Source organism: Homo sapiens, chromosome 16, assembly GCF_000001405.40.
Source record: "Homo sapiens chromosome 16, GRCh38.p14 Primary Assembly".
Classification (NCBI taxonomy): domain Eukaryota; kingdom Metazoa; phylum Chordata; class Mammalia; order Primates; family Hominidae; genus Homo; species Homo sapiens.
The window spans coordinates 22803803-22826551 of NC_000016.10; the positions used below are offsets into that span (position 1 = coordinate 22803803).

At 45.3% G+C, this 22749-nt stretch overlaps 1 protein-coding gene and 1 long non-coding RNA gene across 5 annotated transcripts in view; one reads left to right on the forward strand and one right to left on the reverse strand.

The window, feature by feature from the left end:
* Positions 1–3841: 3841 nt before the first annotated feature.
* Positions 3842–11057, reverse strand: LOC107984851 (collagen alpha-1(XVI) chain). 3 transcript variants are annotated; one of them, XR_001752349.2, is made up of 4 exons: positions 10905–11057; positions 9185–9462; positions 8481–8599; positions 3842–6835 (listed from the first exon to the last, which is right to left on the reverse strand). It is a non-coding gene; the product is annotated as a collagen alpha-1(XVI) chain (long non-coding RNA). The 3 variants fall into 3 exon arrangements; XR_005647011.2 differs by having other exon boundaries at positions 9751–10913; XR_007065029.1 differs by lacking the exon at positions 3842–6835 and adding an exon at positions 7906–8132 and having other exon boundaries at positions 10905–10980.
* The window catches only part of HS3ST2 (heparan sulfate-glucosamine 3-sulfotransferase 2), a 102177-nt gene continuing 89787 nt past the window's right edge, over positions 10360–22749 (forward strand). The window contains exons 1-2 of one of the 2 annotated variants that reach the window (XM_011546001.4): positions 10360–11293; positions 12891–14651. In XM_011546001.4, coding sequence (XP_011544303.1) covers positions 10809–11293; positions 12891–13020 — 615 coding nt within the window. In that variant the 5' untranslated portion in view covers positions 10360–10808 and the 3' untranslated portion in view covers positions 13021–14651. Of the gene's footprint in view, positions 11294–12890; positions 14652–22749 lie in introns of those variants that run through there. The other variant, NM_006043.2, reaches the window with a different exon arrangement.

Below are 22749 nucleotides of genomic sequence, written 5' to 3' on the forward strand. Positions count from 1 at the left end.
CTTACCAGGTTGACAAGTCTTTAGCTCCAGGAATAGATCTTCTATTTGAGTGATATTAGAAGGCATAGAGGGCTTTAAATAGAAGGATTCCTCTTTTTGGGACTGGACTTTAGGAAGATCTGTTAGAAGACTATATCAGTCAGCATCTGCTCAGGAAAACAGAACAGCTCTAGGTATTTCAAACGGAAAGGATGTAATAGAGGGAATTGGTCCCAAAAGTGATGGAAGGGTTGGAGGAGCCAAAAGGGGAGAACGAAGTTACTTAAAAATTAACAACTGCAAAAACCACGCCTAGACTGAAGGATCAAAGGGAAAGTGGTGTTAACAGAGCCCGTGGCTGCTACATCACTGTGATAGCTGGAGCATCTGCTACTGTTACAGCTGCCTTAGGAACCATGGCCACATCCGCCTTGCAGGAAGCCAGAAGGTCACACTTCCGCTAACATTGCAGGATCCCGGGGCACCCAAAATTGACTGAGAGGTAGAGGGTCCATTACACCTGTGGGAGCCAGGACCTATGAATTCTGTGCTGCTGAAGCTATAGGAATGCCCACTTCAACCACCATGCCACATGAGAAGGAAATTATAAGTCTGCACATAGCCACCCCTGCTGTTGCTGCTAATGCTATATGAGATATCTCTAGAAGTAAAACATGATTTCTTCCTTCCATCTATTTTTCAGTCTTCTGCCAGGACCTCCTGTGGGTGAATCTAACTGGAAAACCAGCTGGCCAAAGATTCTGGGAAATGTAGTTTTCAGACTGCCAGCATCTTGCAATTCAAAGGAAAATATAAAAGAGTGGGAATAGAACCCAGAGGAAAGAAATGACTGACAGTAGCTATTGCAGGAGTTTAGATGAGAAAGGATAATAACTTGGACCAGGCTGTTGGCAATGGAGACTGTGAGTCAGTCAAATTCAGAAAAATAGTCCCACTTTATCCAAGAGGGATATATTCCAAGACCCCCAGTGGATGTCTGAAACCGTGGATAGTACTGAACTCTCTATACACACTATGTTTTTTCCTATATATACATACCTATGATAAACTTTATAAATTAGACACTGTAAGAGATTAACTTATCTAAAAACACAAACAATAACTAATAATAAAATAGAATGGTTATAACAATATGTCAACGTCACTACTCTTGTGCTTTGGGGTCATTATTCGGTAAAATAAAGGTTACTTGAACACAAGCACTGTGATGCTGCAACAGTTGGTCTGTTAACCAAGAAGCCTATTAATGATGAATGGGTGGGGTAGCATCTACAGTGTGGCTATGCTGAACAAAGGCATGAATCACATCCCAGGCAGGACAGAGCTGGATAGGGAGAGATTTCATTATGCTACTCAAAATGCTGTGCAATTTAAAACTTACACATTGTTTATTTCTGGAATTGTTCGCTTAATATTTTCGAACCATGGTTGACTGTGGGTAACTGAAAATGCAGACAGCAAAATTGCAGTTGGGGAGGGACGACTGTATAGACTTTGAGGGGAGAATCAACAGGATTTGCTCACAGATCAGGTGTGGAGTATGAGAAAGAAAGGAATCAGGACTAACTCTAGACTTTTCTTGGCCTGAGCAAATGAAGATTAGGATTATCATTTATTTACATGACTGAGATTATGAACAAAGCAGGCTTTAGGTAACTTGTAAGAGTTCAGTTTGGGACATGTTTATCTGAGATGTCTATTAGGCATCCAAGTAGAGATGCTGAATAGACAGTTTAGGGAAAAGCAGATATGAATTTGAGACTCAGTAGCATGTAAATGGTGTATCAAGCCATGAGACTTGTAATATCACTATGAGAATGAATGTAAGTAGCAAAGAGATGATGTCTCAAGACTAATCCCTAGGATACTACAAGTTAGGGGTCAGGGAGGCAAAAAGAAATCATCAAAGGAGACTTAGAAGGAGAAGTAGAGAAGAGATAGAAACACTGGAAGAATGAGGCATCTTGAAATCCTGGTGAACAAAGCATTTCAAGAAGAAAAAAGTGTCACCTGTGTCAAATGCTGCTTTTAGGTAGGACCAATGAGGATTAAAAATTGACTTGAGTTCAACAACATGGAGTTCATTGGCGACCTTGAGAAGAACAATTGTAGAGGAGAGGGTAGAGGTGGGAGCAAAAGTTGATTGGAATGGGTTCAGGGCAATCGGGAGCACTAAAGATCATTCTTTTGAGGAGTTGAGCTGTAAAGGGAAGCATATTAATAGAGCACTAGAAAGGCAGAGGTGAGGTCAAGATAAGGTAGTTTCTTTTCTTTTTAAGATGTCACAAATAACAACACGTATGCTGATGAGAAGGACCCAGTGGAGAGGGGAAATTGATGATAAAGGAGGGAAACTGAAGGATTTCTGGGGTCATGTCCTAGAGAATACAAGAGTGGATTGGATGTGTATACAAGTGGAAAGTTCAGCTTTATCTAAAAACACAGACAATAAAATCATATTAATAGGCACTTGCAACAACATGGGTGGAATTGGGGATGATTATGTTAAGTGATCTTCAGCCACAGAAGGACAAACATCTCATGTTCTCACTGATTTGTGGGATATAAAAATCAAAACAATTGAACTCATGCACACAGAGAGTAGAAGGATGGTTACCAGAGGCTGGGAAGTGTAGTGGGGTGTGTGTGGAGCGAGGAAGGTGGGGATGGTTAATGGGTACGAAAAAGTAGCTGGAAAGAATAAATAAGACCTACTATTTGATAGCCCAACAGGGTGACTATACTCAATAATAACTTAATTGTACATTTAAACATAACTAAAAGAGTGCAACTGGATTGTTTGTAATACAGAGGATAAATGCTTGAGGGGATGAATACCTCATTCTCCATAATGTGATTATTACATATTGCATACCTGTATCAAAACATCTCATGCGCCCCATACATATATACACCTACTGTGTACTCATAAAATTAAAAAATAAAAAAACAAACAGACCATAACAAAATCATACTAACAAGAGAGAAAATAAAGTATATGAACACAGATGCAGGTAGGTGAGTAGAGGTGGTCGTAAAAATTCTCTTCTGATTTCTTCTATTTTACCAGTAAAGTAAAGGCAAGGCCATTGGCTGATGGGGATAGTGGAGAAAGCGTTAGAGGTTTGCAAAGAGGAGGGAGGGTGCTAAGTAGCTATATACAGCCTGAGAATGAATGGACTAGGAAACATAGTATGATTGCTAGGAAGTGTTAAGGGCCCTCTTGAGAATAGAAATGATGAATTTTAAGTGAGACTAGTCGTCATGCTTGTACATTCGCTGTGTTCGGTTGTGCGGGTGCAGACATTGAGTGGGAAGAAAGTTGATCTTAACCCAAGAAATACAGCACAGTGAGAGAGGGTCAAGGAGTTGATGGTTATAAGCGAAAAGTTGATTACCGTGTTTATCCATGGAATCTTGGCTGAATAAAGAGGGAAGAGAGGACATGAAGGAGGTGATCAATAAACAGAGAATTTGGTCCTTTAAGATAAGTTGTACCATGTCCTCATGGCTAAAATTGTTGTCCTTCAGGCAAAGGGGTGTTTGAAGGTATTATCTGTCTATTTATCCAATAAGCACTTATTGAACACCTGCCATGAGCTATGTCCAGAGAGGATATTTGGTTTCTTCCCTAGAAACATTTAAAATACCAAGGAGATACATTGGATTCAAAGCAAGAGGGGTCTTAAGTGATTACTGAGAACAGAAAATGATTTTATTTTGTTTTTAATAAAATTTTCAAGTTGGTCAAAAGATGTATGTCTAGTTGAAAAGTACATATCTATATCAGTCGAAATGGCTTAAGCCAAAAAAATTTATTGATGGATGTAATTGAAAAATGTTCAGCATGATAATGGCTAATGTTTATTGAGGGCCTATTGTTAGCCAGACTGTGTTCTAAGTGAATGACATTTATTACCCTGTTAAATCCTAGCAGCAGAGCCAAGATTTGAACCGAGGCAGTCTGCTTCCAGAGACTGCACTCCTAACCACTATGCTTTACTGACTCTTAAAGAGAGAGCTTTAGGCAAAACTGGATCCAGGGATTCAAGCATTATTTCAAGACAGCCTTTCACTGTCACTCTGCTTACTTCTGTACTGAGTTAATGCACATGCAGGTTAGATTTTCTCCATTCGTGGTAGCTGCAGACTCACACCATCCTTACATCTAGCATTTTCAGTATAAAGTTATTTTCTCTTTCTAAAAGTACTAGGCTCATTATTACATAAGTCTGTGTTTAATGGCATGGAATAGAGTCACACTATTACAAAGCTGAAAAAAATCAAAACTTTACAAAACAGTAGGTATGGGCTGAGCCATAAGCAAACAAACATACAAATACATTTATAATTGGAAGGATGTAAATAAAATATTAGCAATAGTTATTTCTGGGTGTTATGATTTAGAGGACCTTTTTTCTTTTTTCTTCTCAGTATTTTCATTGTTTCTACACTGAAGATATATTACCTATATAACAAAAATGTTAAAGGGAAACAAAAAAATCAGTACAAAACAATAAAGATATCTCCCTATATTGTTCTCTATAGCTAGATATTCTTCCATTCATTCCATCCTATACCATTAAGGTCTGTTTTTTAGAAAATTGATGACAATTGTGCTCACCTCTGGTTCAGTAGTGTCATTTTTATCTGCTTCCAGATAAAAGGAAAATTAGGGGAGAGGGTGCATTACTAGGTCAGCCCTACTGTATTATTGTGCAAGTGAACAGGCTTAGTATCATCTTTGCCATTACAAATAATCCATGCTGGATATATTTGGAAATGAAATGTTAGTTCTTCCTTGGAAGCCCCAACGTGGGTAATAGTTAGTGGTCCATCGAAGAAGGAGAAGGGGATAAAGAAACCAAGGGAGGAGTCCCAACATGAATATGAAGCCCAAATTCCAAGAGCTAGACTGAGTTGGAACTTGTCATTTTGTCCCTGTCCCCAAGGAGTTCACAGTTGCATGAAGAAGACAAGATGGTAAGGTTGGGTGAGATAAGATAGTGTGGTTTAAATAATGCAGGATAAGAGGTGGAGGTGCTAAACAGTACTGACCCACAAGAAGATTATAAGATGAGTAAACCTGATCCTGGATCTCCACATTAATGCTTTTTTTGAACTAATTTCCCCCTCCCTCAGCCTGTAACATCTGTAGAACATGGAAAATTCAACCTACTTGAGACTTTCCTTATTTATAAAATAGGGATAATAATAATAATGCCTACTTTATTGGTTTATTGAGACTATTAAATTAAGTAATGCATCTAAATGCACCAGTCCATGATGCGAGTAAATGCTCAATAAATGGTACCTATTATTTCTGGCAAAAACAGAAGTCACCTACATGGAGAATAACAAAGCGTTTGGAATCTTATAGAGTTCTTAAAAATCAACCAGGTCTCCGGTCTTCTAGATTTGGATCATTTCTACAGGCAGTATCTGGAAGCCCCTTGAGCTTTTACCCTCTGATTTTATCCAAAGAATGAAGCACAACTGAAATCTCTCATTCTCGCTCTCAACCTCTTTCCTAAATGTAGCAGATATATGCACATCCTCTGATTCAGATGCAAACTTTGTACCTCACAGACCCTGCAGACCATGTGGCTCCACTTCACTGTCCTTTGCCTCATAGGAGTCACCCTCTTTGGGACATTTTCTCACATTTTTGCAAAACTCTGCTTTAGGGAACAGATTTGAAGCTTACACACTGAAATAAAACTGAATAACAAGGCTTGATTAGGCCCAAAGACTGAAGGGGAAGAAAATTTCCTATTTTATGATTTTAAATTCAAAGTCTTGAATGCAGGGCATTAGAGTGGGAAGGAAGATTCAAGAGAATGCTAATGTGAAAGAGAAATGGACTCAGAAAAAGAAAAGAAAGAGAGTGTAATGTGCTCTTTGGTTGCTATTCTATTTGAGCCCAGTTCTCCAGCCTTCTTCTTAATTTTGTGAGCTACCCCAAAGTTCCTTTCCTGTGTAAGATATCCCAAATCTCTTTTTTTCACTTCTAGTAACCCTTACTGTTTCATAAATAAAGAGCAATGGCAGTTAAGAATGAGAAGCAAAATAAATAAGATACAAGAAAAGTAGAGAAGTTGAAGAAAGTAACTGGATCCTATGACTGTCTCAAATTTGGAAGGGTTGCAGTCCTGATACATGCATATCCTTCAAAATAAGCCCCCCCACCTCCAACACTTTTTATTAAAATGGTATCTATTCCTTGCAACGGAGGGAGCAACTCTTTTTGTTTGTTTGTTGTATTGGTCAGCACTCTTTCAGTTGCAAGTGCTAACAGAAAGATAGCTAATCACTGCAGCAATAAAGTCCAGGGTCCATGCATTCCGCATGGCTAGATTCAGAGGTTCAAAGGATATTATCAGGAATCTAATTCTCCCTCCATCAGTTCTGCTCTCCTCTTTGTTGGCTTTATTGTTGGTTTCTCCTCTTGATAGCAGAGATGACCATTGGAAGCTTCAGGCTTATTTTAGATTAATTCATCATCTCAGAAAAAGAAGTTTCTCTTTTCCAATAGTTTTCACAAATGTTGTGTGGTTTATTCTCACTAGAAAGATTTGAGTTACTTTCAGTTCTTGAAATATAATTAGAAAGTGATGATGTCAGGCTTGGTCATATGCCTGTCTTTGAACTATGTTCAACCCATACAAACCACATGGGAATAAAAGAGGGAAAACTGTTTGTCCAAGGATGGCAAGGATTACTAGTTGTCCTCCATAACCATTCTTTAGTTCTTTCTTGATACCAAAATCTCAAAGTGTTAGCCAGGCATACAGCCATCCAGAATCAAGACTGCATTTTGAAGCATCTCTTGAAGCTAGAAAGTCAAATGATAAAATGCTGTCAAATTGAATACGAGTTGAAATAATACAGGCAACTTCCAAGAAATGTCCTTAAACAGATATGGCATGTCTTTACATATTTACTAATGACCAGAATGTGAACATTCTGGCTGCAGATGAATAAGTCATTGTAGACTATGTGGTGACTTTAGAATGGAGGAAATGCATGGTAGAGTAACAAGATAGAGGGAGCCTGGGTCCCAAACACTTTGGAGCTTCCATACAAGCCCTAAAGTACCTTCATCTGGACTTTCATGTGATTACAAAAATAAACATATACCTTGCTTAAGTGGGTGTTAATTGACAAACTACACAACCCAGCATAATCCTACCTGATACCCCCAAAGCAGAATCACGTTTGCTACTGTAAACAGATAAAGGTTTAGGAGATGGGCAGGTATGTCCAATGTCTCACTTCCTAAAAAATTCTATCCAAGTCAGTCATTACTCTGATTGGAAATTTGAAGAGGAAAATCTTCCTGGTTTTGATATATGTGAGTACCCAGGGATATCACAGTTTATGAATTCAAAGGTTAAAAATTATTTAAAAATTAAGCCAAGCACAGAATTATGAGAAATCATTATATTCATGTTTTATTTTCTAAGGGAAATAGTACTGATCACAGCAGATGACTCCACATTTAACCTTGTAATTTTAACAATGGAATACAAAAATAGCAGGTTCATGATGTGAATAATTGTTCAAAGTATATATAAGAGCTCCTTCCAGGCCAGGCATTGTGGCTCATGTCTGTAATTCTAGCACTTTGGGAAGCTGAGGCAGGAGGATCACTTGAGCTCAGGAGTTCAAGACCAGCTTGGGCAACACAGTAAGACTTCATCTCTACAAAAAATTAAAAAACTAGCTAGGTGTGGTGGCACATGCCTGTAGTCCTAGCTACTCAGGAGGCTGAGGCAGGAGGATCCCTTGAGCCCAGGAAGTGGAGGCTGCAGCATGAGCTATGATTGCACTACTGCATGCCAGCATGGTCAACAGAGTGAGACACTTCCCCTCACCCAAAAGAAGAAGAAGAACTCCTTTAAGTATATTTGTTTTGACATTTTTATTAACAATTAGAATGAGGAATTAATTAAATTGTGATCAACTGTGGAAATTACATGATGCCAAGTGAGTGGTTCATGCTTTGGGTAATGGAATCATAGAATCATGCAACATCTAAACTTTGAGAGACTTTTAAGGTGAATCATAGCGTCCCATTTTACAGCTGAGGAACCTGAGGCTTAAAGGGGGTCCACTTGCCCAAAGTACACCTGGAATAAAGGGTAAAGCTGGGATACAATCTTTCTACTTTTTCTTTTTGAATAAATGAAAGCTACCTCGTGGTTTGACTTCAAATAGACATTTAAAAAAAACTAGGGCAGCGAACTGATGAGACAAGATGAAATGCAATCAAGTCAAATCTATAAGGACCTACACATTGGGTCCAAAAAGGCCCACTGTACAAGCACAGTATGGGGTAGCTGTGCCTTAATCAGCAGCACTTGTAAGAAACATTTAGAGATGTTACTTGGCTGCAAGTTTGAGATGTCAGCAGTGTGATATAGCCACAAGAAAAAGATAATGGAGTCTTAGGTGGCATTACTAGAAATAGAACTTACAAAAGAGAGGTGAGAGTCCTGTTGAACTTTTCAATCCATATCTGAAATTCCTCGCGCAGTCCCAGGTGTGAGATTTTAGAAGAGACATAGACAAATTAGCTTACATCCAGGAGAGGAGCCTAGGATGGAATTATATGAATAATGGTCAAAGGAAGTTAGGAAGCTGCAAAGTGCTGTAACTAAGAGCTTGAATCTTGGAGTCAAGACTGCCCGGGTTTAATCCCAGCTCTGCCAGTTACTGTGTATATGTTTGTTAAATCTTCTTATCACTGCCTGTAGATTAGAAATTACAATAATACCTATCTCCAAAGATAAATGAGGTAGTGCATGTCAAGTGATTAGCGCATAACTCCCATAAAACAAGCACTCAATAAATGCTAGCTACTATTAGAATTAAGACAGCAAAGTGATGCCAGGGTAATGGTAACAACTTCATAGGTTGTGAATATTTAATCAGTTAACCCATGCCAGGTGCTTGATACAAAGTTGGCAGCTATTATTATTATCTGCCGTAGAATTGGTTTAAGGTTTCTAGGGATGGGACTAGTTTGGGGACAAAATATTTTCTGGTTTGGGCTAAGATCCACAGAACCTAATGATCAGTTTACAGCCTGAGGAAGGAAGTCAGTTATACCCTGATCAGGGTGGGGGTCATGGTGGTCATCTAGACATTCTATGGCTGGGTGGTGGTGGAGGGCACTCACCTTGTGAACACTCGGACATGGTGAATTGGCATTGGCATTGCTGTTGAAGGACAACTCAGCCGTGTTCTTAGCCATGGCCATTTAGGCCTGTTCTGATGCAGGGTTCTGATCCAAGGTACCAGTGTGGTCCCTCAGGGAAGTACTGGGGATCGTCACTTATGCCTGTTCTGGACATGGTCACCGAGAACTGTCCTGTAGGCATTCACTTAGGAATCATTCGAAGTGGAATTGCTCCTGGATACGTTCTCCTTGTACTCTGTTTCCTCCTCCTAGTGTCTCTGTGTGAAGAAGCCCTCCTCACTCAGCCCTCGGCGACCCTCTGGTACCCTGGACAGCTCCCCGGGGAGCAGTCTACCGCTAGGCGGCGGCTGCTAAGAGAGGAACCCTCCTGACGCGGAGTCTGCCGCTCCGGGGCTCGCTCTCCGGCAGGCCCGGGGAGAGGTGGGGTGACAATGGGTTGGGGTGCGCGCGTGCCTCATAGGTGCGAGACAGAGCGAGCCGCCGGGGTGTGAGTCAGCGCGCTGGGGGCTAAGAAGCTGGGTGAATAGTCACGGAATCTCACTCACGCTCGGCTCCTCCACCCATCCCGTCTACAGCGCGTGTCCCAGTCCAGGGCGTGCGTGCGCTCGGTGTCCGATTCCGGGCTGTGTGTGTCCATTTGGCGAGATGTCGAGAGCGGGGGGAGTGTCCTTGTCGGTGTATCTGGGCCCAGGTTAGGGGACTTCTCCTCCCCACCCCCGCGTGGGTGTGGGGGTGTGTCCGGGCTAGGGCGCGTGTGCTTCTGTGCCTGTGCGTGCGTGTGCGGGTCAGGGTGGTGGGACCGCGCATCAGGGCAGGGTGCCTGCGTCTGCGTCTGGGTCTGTCTGGTCTGCATGTCGGCGCGATCTCGACCTGGATTCGTGTCCCTGGATGTCGAGAGGCCAGCGTGGTGGGGGTGTCCAGCCTCCCGGAGGAGTACTATGCCTTGACACCTTCGTTTCACCGCCCCAAAGCTGGCCTGGGGCTCCGTAGGGAGTGGCCTGCATGGGGAGGGCCCGCGTGCTGTGTTTCTGGGAGGGGTAAGAGAGTGGGGGCGCAGGGGGCGGGCCAGGTCCCTGGGCGCGGCGCGGGCTCGGGGGACCCGCGCGGCTGACGTCAGGCCACTCCTTAAATAGAGCCGGCAGCGCGCTCCGCTCGGCATTTCCCGAAGAGCCAGATCGCGGCCGGCGCCAGCGCCACCGTCCGGTCCACCCGCCAGCCCGCACAGCCGCGCCGCCGCCGAGCGTTTCGTGAGCGGCGCTCCGAGGATCAGGAATGGGGCTTCGGGCGCTGGGCGCGCTCCGAACCCGGCGCACGTAAGAGCCTGGGAGCGCCCGAGCCGCCCGGCTGCCCGGAGCCCCATCGCCTAGGACCGGGAGATGCTGGAAATGCAACCGCCTGTTCCCCGAGGAGCCGCTGCCCCCGGGACCCCCTGGCACTGTGCGCACCCTGGTCAGCAGCCCCCGGAGAAGACGGCGCCCCCAACGCCCGACCCGCGTGGCCGTGGCAGCGCCACGCGAGCCCTCTAGGCGACCGCAGGGCCACAGCAGCTCAGCCGCCGGTGCCCCCTCGGAAACCATGACCCCCGGCGCGGGCCCATGGAGCCATGGCCTATAGGGTCCTGGGCCGCGCGGGGCCACCTCAGCCGCGGAGGGCGCGCAGGCTGCTCTTCGCCTTCACGCTCTCGCTCTCCTGCACTTACCTGTGTTACAGCTTCCTGTGCTGCTGCGACGACCTGGGTCGGAGCCGCCTCCTCGGCGCGCCTCGCTGCCTCCGCGGCCCCAGCGCGGGCGGCCAGAAACTTCTCCAGAAGTCCCGCCCCTGTGATCCCTCCGGGCCGACGCCCAGCGAGCCCAGCGCTCCCAGCGCGCCCGCCGCCGCCGTGCCCGCCCCTCGCCTCTCCGGTTCCAACCACTCCGGCTCACCCAAGCTGGGTACCAAGCGGTTGCCCCAAGCCCTCATTGTGGGCGTGAAGAAGGGGGGCACCCGGGCCGTGCTGGAGTTTATCCGAGTACACCCGGACGTGCGGGCCTTGGGCACGGAACCCCACTTCTTTGACAGGAACTACGGCCGCGGGCTGGATTGGTACAGGTAAGGACCAGGAGCTCCGCTCCGTGCGCCGGGTCTCTGATCGCTTCCATTGGGAGAGCCATCCGTCTCTTGTGTTTTCTCTTTCTTTTAACCCAACTCATTGTATGGGTTCAGGCTGACACACAGGGCCATGGGGGGCTATAGCAGAATTTACCCAGAACTTCCCAGTGATAATCTAGACGGGCAGTTTCTGGAACTGCAAAGGGCGTTCCCTCGTCACTGGAGTCGTTGGAAAAGGATTATCTCCAGTCAAACCTAAGTGCCAGCTAAAGGGCTAACTCCCTCTGTGACCAGCCCTTAGGGTGCCCAAGGAAGGGACAGGCGAGGACCTGTGCTGCCTGAACACGGCACCATCCTAACCCTCTGTAGGTCTTTGCTGGTACCCAGCCCCTGAAGGACCCTGAGAAAGATAAGGCAGTTCAGAGACCCCTTGCAGCAAGGCTCTGTTTGGGAAAGGTCCCCAGAGTTCAGGCCAAATGACAGTGCATCGCCAGAGGTCTCCAGTAAGAAAGATGCCTTAGGGAGTCTCAATCTCAAACCCAGGTATTTGCTGCTGTACTGGGGCTGAGACCCCCAGTAGCTCTGGCCCTGGTAGGTGGTCTTTGAGTAGTGGAAAGAGCCCTGGATTCGAGTCTTGGGTCTGTCACTTAAGCTTGAGCAAGTTTCTTAAACTCTATCAGCCTCTATTTTCTCATCCATCCCAATGGGCAGGAAAACAGCCCTTGCCCTGTATACCTTCCAAGGCTTTTCTGAAGTGCCTTAAAGGTGTAAAAAAGGCACTTCACTTTAAGTGATGCTTCTAAACCAGCAGCCAAAATGTGGAATTTGAAGGTGGGCCCTGCGGGTGAAGGCTAGCAAGGGTGCTAGGGGCAGCCAGTCATGCATAGACTGTCTATGCTTCCCATGCATGCCAGGGAGGAGAATTATCCCCACTGGGGGAGTCAAGGCACAGACCAAAGCTTCTGTGAGGTGGCAGCGTCCACGCCTCAATGCCTTTCTGCCTCCCTAGCCCTGTATGGTGCTGAAGTGTAGGACTGGCCCACATGTGGGTGGTGTAATGTCCCGGCTCCCTGTTAACACATAGGTCACAGAATTCTCACAATTCACCTGACCCTTTGAAGACTTTCTAGAAACATCTGCATAGTAATGACGTTGGGGAGGGGTAACATGGTAGCTGACAGAGTAGCTGAGGCTAAATCTGCTGTTTTTATCTACAGCTTTAGGCAGTAGAGGTCATATGCATATTGGACAAGGGACAACTTTGTTAGAAAGAGGACCCCACTGGGCTTATAATAGAGGGCCCTGGATTTACCAAAAGTAGGGGGACCGCAGGCCTGATTTAGCACCTTTGCAGGTTACTCCTGGCTCGCAATGGTTGTAGTTGTGGGGACGAGTGGGTCATGCATCATCCTTAGCAGGCAGACACATAGTCTGTCCCCATTGCAGCCAACCAGGGGCTAGCTAGCCTGTGGGTGGCCCCAGCACCATTATGTCTGGTTAATAGGGTAGGGTGGCACAGAGTGGCAGATCTGGCTTCATGCCAATGCCAATAGCCCACTGTGCTTTCCAAGCTGTGACTCATGGGCATCCCGTCTAGGTGCATGTGGACACTGTCTGAGTCAGATCCCGGGATGGAGGAGGCAAACACATTGAACAGCAGAGCCCAGAGTGGGTCAGCCATGACCACATTCGAATGCAGGCCAGCATTTCCTCGATGGAAAATCTGAAGATCATTATGACACCTTTTGCCAATGCGAAGTGCCTTTTAAGTGCAAAACAGCAAAATTCTGAGCATCTGGCTTTCAGATAGTGTGCCCTCCAATAAATACCTATGCCCTGAACCCAGACTCTCCTCCCTCCCCTCTCTTCCTTCCACCACTAAACAGCATACCTCAGGCTTCCATCCTGGAGCCCATGTCATTCAGGGATGGCTGCTTTTTATTTTTAACCTTGGCATGTGTGATTCTAAGCAAGCTTAGCTGTGAACCTTAGAGAGGGAAGCCATGTCTTATTTTTTATTTATTTATTTTTTTTTAGCACATTTGGATTCTGCTAAAATTCTCAGCTGAGTCTTGGTAGGTTTTATTTAACATCAAGCATGCTGACAGCTCTGCTTCTCTCTTCTCTCCCCCTCTACCACCTTTCCCCACTTTATATTTCTAAAAGACTATCCTAGAGGTCTGGTCGTAATTGCCCTCTCCCCATTGCTTGACCAGGAAGGCTGGGAGGCTCCAGTGTCAGGAAAAGGCTGTGTGGTTTGTGCTTCTTTCAGTTACAAATCCACACCCCTAGAGTCAAGTGTTTAGCTTGTGGATTGCCATTTCTGTGCAGGGTAATACTACCCCACTTAGATGCTGTTTCCATAACCTCCAGAACATCTTTCTGTATGTAAAGAACATTTTTGTACATTTCTTTTTATTATGACCAAGTCATACACATTAACTGCAGAAATCATGGGGATTTCTGGAATCTTTTAAAACCCATGTTCTTACTTTCTTCCTGAATCCCATGAGCTAGGTACGGTGGGTGACAGGATGTTCCGCTCTCTGTCCACTGCCTTGTCAGTTCACAGCTTGCCATCATAAAGCCAGGGTCCACTGGGCAGACATAGCCAAAGAACCCTTGCACCCATTGGAGTGGACTGTGCTTTCCAAAGGGGGAGGTGCAGAGTTGCAGGCAGTGTGGATCTTAGTATGATCTGCCCACATCAAAGCCCCTGGTGATAACTTCCTGATCAGGAGGCTGAAATCCAGATAGTGGAAAAATCAAAAGCTTTACCCTTAACCCAAAGGAGGGGCTTCTTTCTGTGGGTAAATGGAGATAAAGCTGAAGGCCGAGTGATATAGCCAGAAAGACACCATCATTTGGAGAGACCAGGAGACAGAGTCTGCACCTTCTTGTCCTTAGCCTGATCCTTCTTGGGAACCACTCCCGTTCAGGCCACTACCAGAGAGCCCAGCCTTCTGCAGTGGGTTCTCTCCAATTTGCTGTCTTTCTGCCATGCCATCTCTGATGCTTACCTCAACTATGTGTCTGGCCTGGGTTCTCCCCCACCCACATTTCCTCCCCGAGGTAAGAGCTGCAGGGTGGTATCTCCTAGCTGCTTGGACAGGTGGGCAAAGCAACACCAGGCTGATGAGGGAACCAGGACAGGGAACCACAGTCAGAAGACCAGAGGTGGTCACCTAGGTGCTGTATGATTTGAAGAAAGGTGATTCTCCCAAGTCTCAGCTTCCTCATCATGGAATGGGACCTGTAGTAACTATCCTAGAAACGTGTTGTGAAGAATAAATGCAAAACTGTACATGAAATTGCCCTGGAAAATTCTATGATATATAAAGACAAGGCAGTAATGTTACTACTGTTATTGCTACTAATTACTACAACACTCCTGTTATCACTATTAGTTCTGTTAGTATTAAAAATATTAGTTTCTGATGCTGCTGCTGTTACTAAATCGGGCTGAGGAATTAATCAATTGCTATAAAGATAGTTCCATACTTTCCTCTTTATTCCTTCCCTTCCCTTCCTCCTTCCCTCTCTCCCCTTTCCCTTCTCCTTTTCCTTCCTTCCTTCCTTCCTCCCTCCCTCCTTGCCTGCCTTCCTTCCTTCCCTCCTTCCTTCCTTCCCTCCCTCCCTCCTTCCCTTCCTTCCTTCCTTCCTTCATTCCTTCCTTCCCTCCTTCCTTCCTTCCCTCCCTCCCTCCCTTCCTTCCTTCCTTCCTTCCTTCCTTCCTTCCCTCCTTCCTTCCTCCCTCCCTCCCTCCCTCCCTTCCTTCCTTCCTTCCTTCATTCCTTCCTTCCTTCCTTCCCTCCTTCCTTCCTTCCCTCCCTCCCTCCCTCCCTTCCTTCCTTCCTTCCTTCCTTCCTTCCTTCCCTCCTTCCTTCCTTCCCTCCTTCCTTCCTCCCTCCCTCCCTCCCTCCCTTCCTTCCTTCCTTCCTTCATTCCTTCCTTCCTTCCTTCCCTCCTTCCTTCCTTCCCTCCCTCCCTCCCTTCCTCCCTCCCTCCCTTCCTTCCTTCCTTCCTTCCTTCCTTCATTCCTTCCTTCCTTCCTTCCTTCCCTCCTTCCTTCCTTCCCTCCTTCCTTCCTCCCTTCCTCCCTTCCTTTTCTCTTTCCTTCCCTCCTTCCATGTTAACAGAAAGTCAGTTCACATATCTGGGTGTCAGTCTGCTCACCTGTGAAATGGCAATGATGCCTGAACTGCTTTGCAACCTTATAAAAATCAAGTAAGACTATCTACATGAAAATGTTTTTCCAAATCTAAGGTTATCTTTAGGATGCTCTCCATTCTAAGGAAGTTTGGATGTGAAATAGACTCTTCAGGGTCATCTTTTATAAACAGATATAAGCTTTGCTGTGTGTAGTAGTTTTTAGAGTCACAGGGAAAGCTGAGATATGTCTGAAGTGTTCTCAATTTTGCTGGTGTTTCGGTATGGCAGGGGAATGTGTGTGTGGAGGAAGTGTATCTTTTCTAAATGCATTGAAATGCCAACAAGAGCAAGTTAATATGTGATAATTGACTCTGTGTTCTGGTGTCCAAATTTTGATAGATGAGCCTGTTCTATAAATTTCAGACTTCACTTCACAACTCTGGTTATTTATTTGTTCAGCATCGATGATGTTCTTGGGATGGTGCAAAGCAAAGAAGACAGAATATTTGCCCCAGAGGCAACAGTCTAAGTACGAAAGAGAATAAAAAGCCCAGAATAAGATCTATCACATTATCCAGTTCATTTTCATCAAGAAATCATATTCTAATTGCAAAGCCCAATTCTGGAAATGCAAACCTTAGAAAAAAATAAAATCAAAGGCAGAAGGTAAGGGGCCTCCTGCCATGACGTAGTTAATGCAGACAGTTTTATCATCTTTCAACAAATTGATCAACACACAAAACAGACTGATCTGTGCTCATTGGGTGTGCACATAGATGAATGTGTGTGCACACCCACACATGTGCACCTGCATGCACAATTGCAGCATCTATGCAGACTTAGGCCTTTATACAGAAATTCCCTGTCTTGGTCCAGGCGAACGTCACACAGTATGATTAAATGAAACCATTGAGTCCATAAACCCCCCCCCATTTGTCTTGCAGCACTCTGTCAGCCTTGCAGCATGCTGTAGATATAATACTTAGTGCCAGCAAATGTACAGTTCTTGTCAGGCATGGAGGAACATTCGGAATGGGCAACAAGAATTGTCATTGCTCAAGGAAGTTTTTTGAAGAGCTGGTTTCCCTTCCCCTTGGAGCTGAGAAGGGGAATGAAGAACAGGCTTTCCCCAAAGCCTTAGTCTATTAATCCATTTTCACACTGCTGATAAAGACATACCCAACACTGGGTAATTTAAAAAGAAAAAGAGGTTTAATGGACTCACAGTTCCATGTGGCTGAGGAGGCCTCACAATCATGACAGAAGGAGAAAGGCATGTTTTACATGGCAGCAGGCAAGAGAGAAATGAGAGCCAAGCAAAAGGGGAAACTCCGTAAAAAGCCATCAGATTTCGTGAGACTTATTCACCATCACGAGAACAGTATGCGGGAAACCGCCATGATTCAATTATCTCCCACCTGGTCCCTCTGACAACATGTGGGAATTATGGGAGCTACAATTCAAGATGAGATTTGGGTGGGGACACAGCCAAACCCTATCACTTGTTACAGGAGCATTTTAGGTGGAGAAGATGCTGACAGCCCCAGTACTTTCCAGCTACACACATTGTTAAGCCTGTTTTGGATGTTAACGTGTGAAAATACCACTGAAAGGTTCTAAGAAGCGTCTTTAACATCTCTGAAATTAGCATGTATCTTATGATTGATGGTGTCTTAGATTGAAGATATAGGATGTTTCCATACTGATTCCGGAAATGCCCTCTGCCTGGGAGACCTGGCTTCCCCAGCCTAACCTGGACTCTCTGGACCTTCCAAAGAGCCAGTGACTAGACCCTGCTTCATCTCTGTAGCCAGCAGGGCTCTCTTCTGATTGGTCCGGGAGCTGGATTCATTTTATATTTTTGAATGTTACCCATGCCATCTCCCTGAAAGCAACTATCCTGAAATTAGGGAAGGTGTGGGGCTGGTACTCACAGGAGATAAGATGCGATGGTGGGCATGTCCTTCATGGCCTGCTGTACAGAGGCACTTGCTGTACCTTGCACATATCTGGAGACACATCCAAAGGGCCCTAGCGGATTTGAAGCAGAGTCAATGCTCAACAGGTGCTATTACCTGCATGCTTTGGTAATGCTTTGGTAATATTCTGTGTATCTGGTATGCAGGGCTGTAGAATAACTTTGGTTAGACCTCTATGAATCATTCCTGTATGATCGAGTGACAGGGTGCATGGGGACGGGGTGGGGGAGCACACAGCTCCCTATTGATCAGATCCCCTGGAGGACTTGAGGAGAGGTCATCTCCACCTGTGAGGGCTCAGGGCAGGTGATAGGGAAGTGGGGCTTTGCGGGGTAGTGACTCAGAACTGATAAGTCACACAGATAACCTAAACCTGTGGGACTCACTGTCTCTGCTGGAGCTAACTCCGGTGCAGGTTAATCCATTCGTTTGTCAAATGCTTTCCATTGGCCAGGCTTGGTGCCAGGCTGCTGTAGGCCGGTTCAGCTGCCACTTTGTTCTCCTAATGGGCTGCATGGCTGGGCTGAAGCACTGTGAGGTTCACAAGCAGCTTGACGAGGTGGGTAAAAGCCACCCGGGAGGGGAAATGACCTTGTGCTTCTGAGGAAGTTATTATTAAGTATGTTTTTCCAGGGCATATGAGACAGAGGTTTGGGCTTGGGTGATCTGGAGCCGGAGCATCACGTGGATTTCCTGGGCATGGGTCCATTGGGTGTCTTCCTAAGCTTTTCAAATCAGAGGAGCTGACAATGGCTCCACCTCAGTGTCCATGGCCACCAGCCACCATGAACACTCCCCAAGTGAGAAAGCCAGAAGTGTCTGCTCTAGGTGGAGGCTAAAGGACCTCTCACACTGCCTTCCAAATGGTGGCATAGTTATTTGGGAGGGAGAATTTTTTCAGATTTCAGACATTTTTGTGCCACCTTCATGACATTTGCCAAAGCCCAGCATGACCTCTACTATTATTTTCTTAATTTTTTTTTGAGACTCATGCAGTGGCACAGTCAAGGCTCACTGCAGTCTCAACCTCCCAGGCTCAAGTGATCCTCCCACCTCAGCCTCCCAAGTAGCTAGGACTACAGGTGTGCACCAACACACCTGGTTAATTTTTAAAATCCTTTGTTAGAGCCAGGGTCTTGTTTTGTTGCCCAGGCTGGTCTCAAACTCCTGGGCTCAAGCAATCCTTCTGCCTCCACCTCCTAGAGTGCTGGGATTACAGGTGTGAGCCATCTCATCCAACCTTCTTAATTTTTTTGCTTAAGTTAGCCCATTTAAAAATGATAATTTATCACAAAGAACAAGTTTTCCCCTTCAGTTTATATATTTTAGAATAGACAAGATATTCAGCTGGGTGCAGTGGCTGACGCCTGTAATCCCAGCACTTTGGGAGGCCAAGGCAGGTGGATCACCTGAGGTCAGGAGTTTGAGACCAGCCTGGCCAACATGGTGAAACCCCATCTCTACTAAAAATACAAAAAATTAGCTGGGCGTGGTGGCGTGCGCCTGTAGTCCCAGCTACTTGGGAGGCTGAGGAAGGAGAGTTGCTTGAACCTGGGAGGCAGGGGTTGCAGTGAGTCAAGATAGCACCACTGCATTCCAGCCTGGGCAACAGAGCAAGACTCCGTCTCAGAAAAAAAAAAAAAAGAAAGAAAGAAAAAAAGATATTTGTATTGTGAAATTCAAAAGTGACAAAGGGTATTCAGAGAAAATTAATCCCTTCCTTTCTACCTCGTCTTTCAGCCAAGAAGTTCCTCTTCCCAGAAGCAACCATAGGTACCTGTTTTTGTGTATCTTTCTAAAGATATGCTATGGATTTGCAAATCTAACACATACTGTGCAAGTATAGTTAAAATAAATATTGTTTAAAAGCAACTTTATTTTGAAGCCACCCTAAATGGAAAACCGGCAACACTTGCCATAATTAGAAAGTGATCATAAAAATAAGTTAGATTGAAAACAAAACAGTGTGATTGAATTTTTGCTCTCTAGTGTGACTGGAATGTTCTAAGCCTGCAGTGATTTCCATCTTTGCTTAAAAGAGGATACTAGGGGACACTACTAAGAGCAGTTAAAGAAATATCAATATCAATGTGAGATGTTTCTCCTTGATGTAATCAGAAGGAATGAAGGTAAAGAAGGAGAGATAATACATCTCACTGTGTGATTTGGTGGTATTTAGTAAGTCTGTGTAGTACCTAAAATTACCAAGATGAGGCACACAACTGACGTTATGGGAAATATTGTTGGAGTTTGCCGAAAACTCAGTTTAAGTAAATCCAATGATGGGCTGGGTGCGGTGGTAATGCCAGCACTTTTGGAGGCCGACGCTGGGTAATCGCTTCAGCCCAGGAGTTGGAGACCAGCCTGGGCAACATAGGGAGACCTCTTCTCTAAAAAAAAAAAAAAAAAAATTAGCCAGGCATGGTGGCAGGCACCTGTAGTCCCAACTACTTGGGAGGCTGACATGGGAGATTCACTTGAGCCCAGGAGTTCGAGGCTGCAATAAGCTATAATTGCACCACTGAACTCCAGCCTGGGTGATAGAGTGAGACTGTTTCTAGCTTTTCAGGTTTCTTTAATGTGTTAGCGATTGGGAGAGATGAGCCAAAAGAAAACTCAGAACAAATATGAGCACTAAGAGGAGAGTTTGACCTGCAATATTTACAAGGGAGTGTAGCCTTCCCAAGAACCAGGTTCCCTGAATAAAGGGTGTGGTGAGCATTTAAAAGACAATGTCAACTCACAGGGTTACAATGGATTTCTTCATTATTCTTACTGGTGGAAAGTCAGCAGTATTCTCCACAATTACCACATCTACATAGATTGTCACGTATCTGTAGACGTCAGTGTCACAAAAGTCAGAGATAAAGTTGTTTTCACTAGGGAATCAGCAATTTATGAGACAGTGGCACAAGGCTTTTCTTTATTTTAATTTTGAGGCTCATGTGAGAGAGGACGTCCCTTTTGTAAAATCTCAGGATGCAAAATACCTTTTCTTCCATTCTGGAAAACATGACGTGAAGCTTAAAAACATGACATGGGCTGGGCGTGGTGGCTCATGCCTGTAATCCCAGCACTTTGGGAGGCTGAGGCAGGTGGATCACGAGGTCAGGAGATCGAGACCATCTGGTTAACAGAGTGAAACCCTGTCTCTACTAAGAATACAAAAAATTAGCCGGGCGTGGTGGCAGGCACCTGTAGTCCCAGCTACTCAGGAGGCTGAGGCAAGAGAATGGCGTGAACCCGGGAGGCAGAGCTTGCAGTGAGCCGAGATAGAGCCACTGCACTCCAGCCTGGGTGACAGGGCGAGACTCCGCCAAAAAGCAAGCAAACAAACAAACAAACAAACAAACAAACCATGAAGCTTATACACAGGGCTGGGTAGGATGTCAATTTTGCTTTCTCAGGCAGTTTAATTTCACTGGATCAAGAGCGGAAGACAATGCAACTTCTTTGTGTGCTTTTAACTGTGTAAAAGAAGACCCACTGCAGAAAATGGTCCCTGGAATTTCCCTTGGTTAACAGAGGCAATGCAGAGGGTGTCTATGATGACAGGGCTTCCCAAGCTTGCCTTTAATAGGGCTGATGGTCAATTAAAGGGAGATGGCTTTCTTCCACCTCAGGGTGCTCCCTAGCCTCAGTGCTTGCTGCTGGGTGAAGGAACCCCAGATCAACCCTGAGGCTGATGGAGAGATGAGTGGGCATTGAAGCAAGGCCTCACGGTGGCACAAGGGCTTTTTAGGAAGCATACAAAGACAGATCTTATTGGAGAGAGAGAGAGAGGGAGAGAAGCCCGGATTCCAAGCATGAACTCAAAATGGAGATAAAGTTGCAGAAACTACTATGGAAGGCAGTTTCAGCATAGCTATGAAAAATTCGAACTCTGAGATCAGAAGGAATACGTTGGAATCTCAGCTCCACCACATGCAAGGTGAGTGTGTGTGCCAACCAGAGGCTTCTCTGTCTCAGTTCCTCCATCTGCACACTGGGACTAATCATATTGACTGCCACATAGGGTTGCTGTGAAGATTCAATGAACAATTACACATAAAAGTGCTCGAAACATCTGTGGCGCATGAGAGGTATTAAAAGCCTGTTAGTTGTCATTATTGGCCATTGATTTCTTCATCATACCTTTATTCAGCAGCATGCTAAGGACACAGAGATGAATATAACACAGAGCCTCTGGGCTCTTCACTGTTTGGTGAGGCTATTAGATGTTCGTGGAAAGTTTGCACACAAGTCAGATGAGAATAGGTACCATATTAGAGATACAAGGAGAGCTATAGTAAGTAGCATGGAAAGGAGAGAAAATTCATTTAGGGGAATTTGGGAAAGCTTCCTGGAGGAGGTGGTATGTTATTTGGACCTCAATGGCCAGAGAGGATTTCCTTGGATAGAGATGTTTTTGGTTGGGGGCTAATAAGGAGGGGGAACCTATAGGGATGCTGTTTCTAAATACATTCACTTCATGATTTTACCTCTGTTTACAGTCGAATCACAAAATAAAGTGGTTGCCGGGAGCGGGGGCTCACACCTGTAATCCCAGCACTTTGGGAGGCCAAGGTGGCGGATAACCTGAGGTCAGGAGTTCGAGACCAGCCTGGCCAACATGGTGAAACCCCATCTCTACTAAAAATACAAAAATTAGCTGGGCGTGGTGGCGTGCGCCTGTATTCCCAGCTACTTGGGAGGCTGAGGAAGGAGAATCACTTGAACCTTGGAGGCAGAGGTTGCAGTGAGCCGAAATCATGCTGCTGCACTCCAGCCTAGACAAAAAGAGCAAAACTCCATCTCAGGAAAAAAAAATGTTGTTTCAGATCACTTTAGTTCCACATGAATTTATTGGCCACCTGCTATGTGCCAGGCAATGTGCTAAGCCCTGGAGAAATGAAGATGAGAAAGAGAATTAATCTCTCTTTTAAAGAGAAGAAGGTACAGAGAAATTCAGCGGTCAGACTTACTGAGAGAGAGAGAAAGCTCCCAGCATTTGTGGGGTTGTAGAGGAGGGGCCCCCACCCAGGGTGGGCCAAAGAGGCTTTCAAGAGAGCTGGTGCCTATGTTTTGGGGTGTTTGCATCTGCTGTTCCTCTACAGGGATCATTCTTCCCCCAGAGCATCTCAGGTCTGGCTACTTCTCATCATGCATGTCCCAGCTCCAATGTCACCTCCTCAAAGAGACCATTCTCAGCCACCTAGTCTAGGCTGGCTCACCTCCTCACCACTCTCTATCTTTCCTCACCACCTTGCTTTATTTACTTCTTACTTCTCACTGACATCTGAAATTATTGTGTTCATTTTCTCTTTTATTTACTCTTTCCCCACT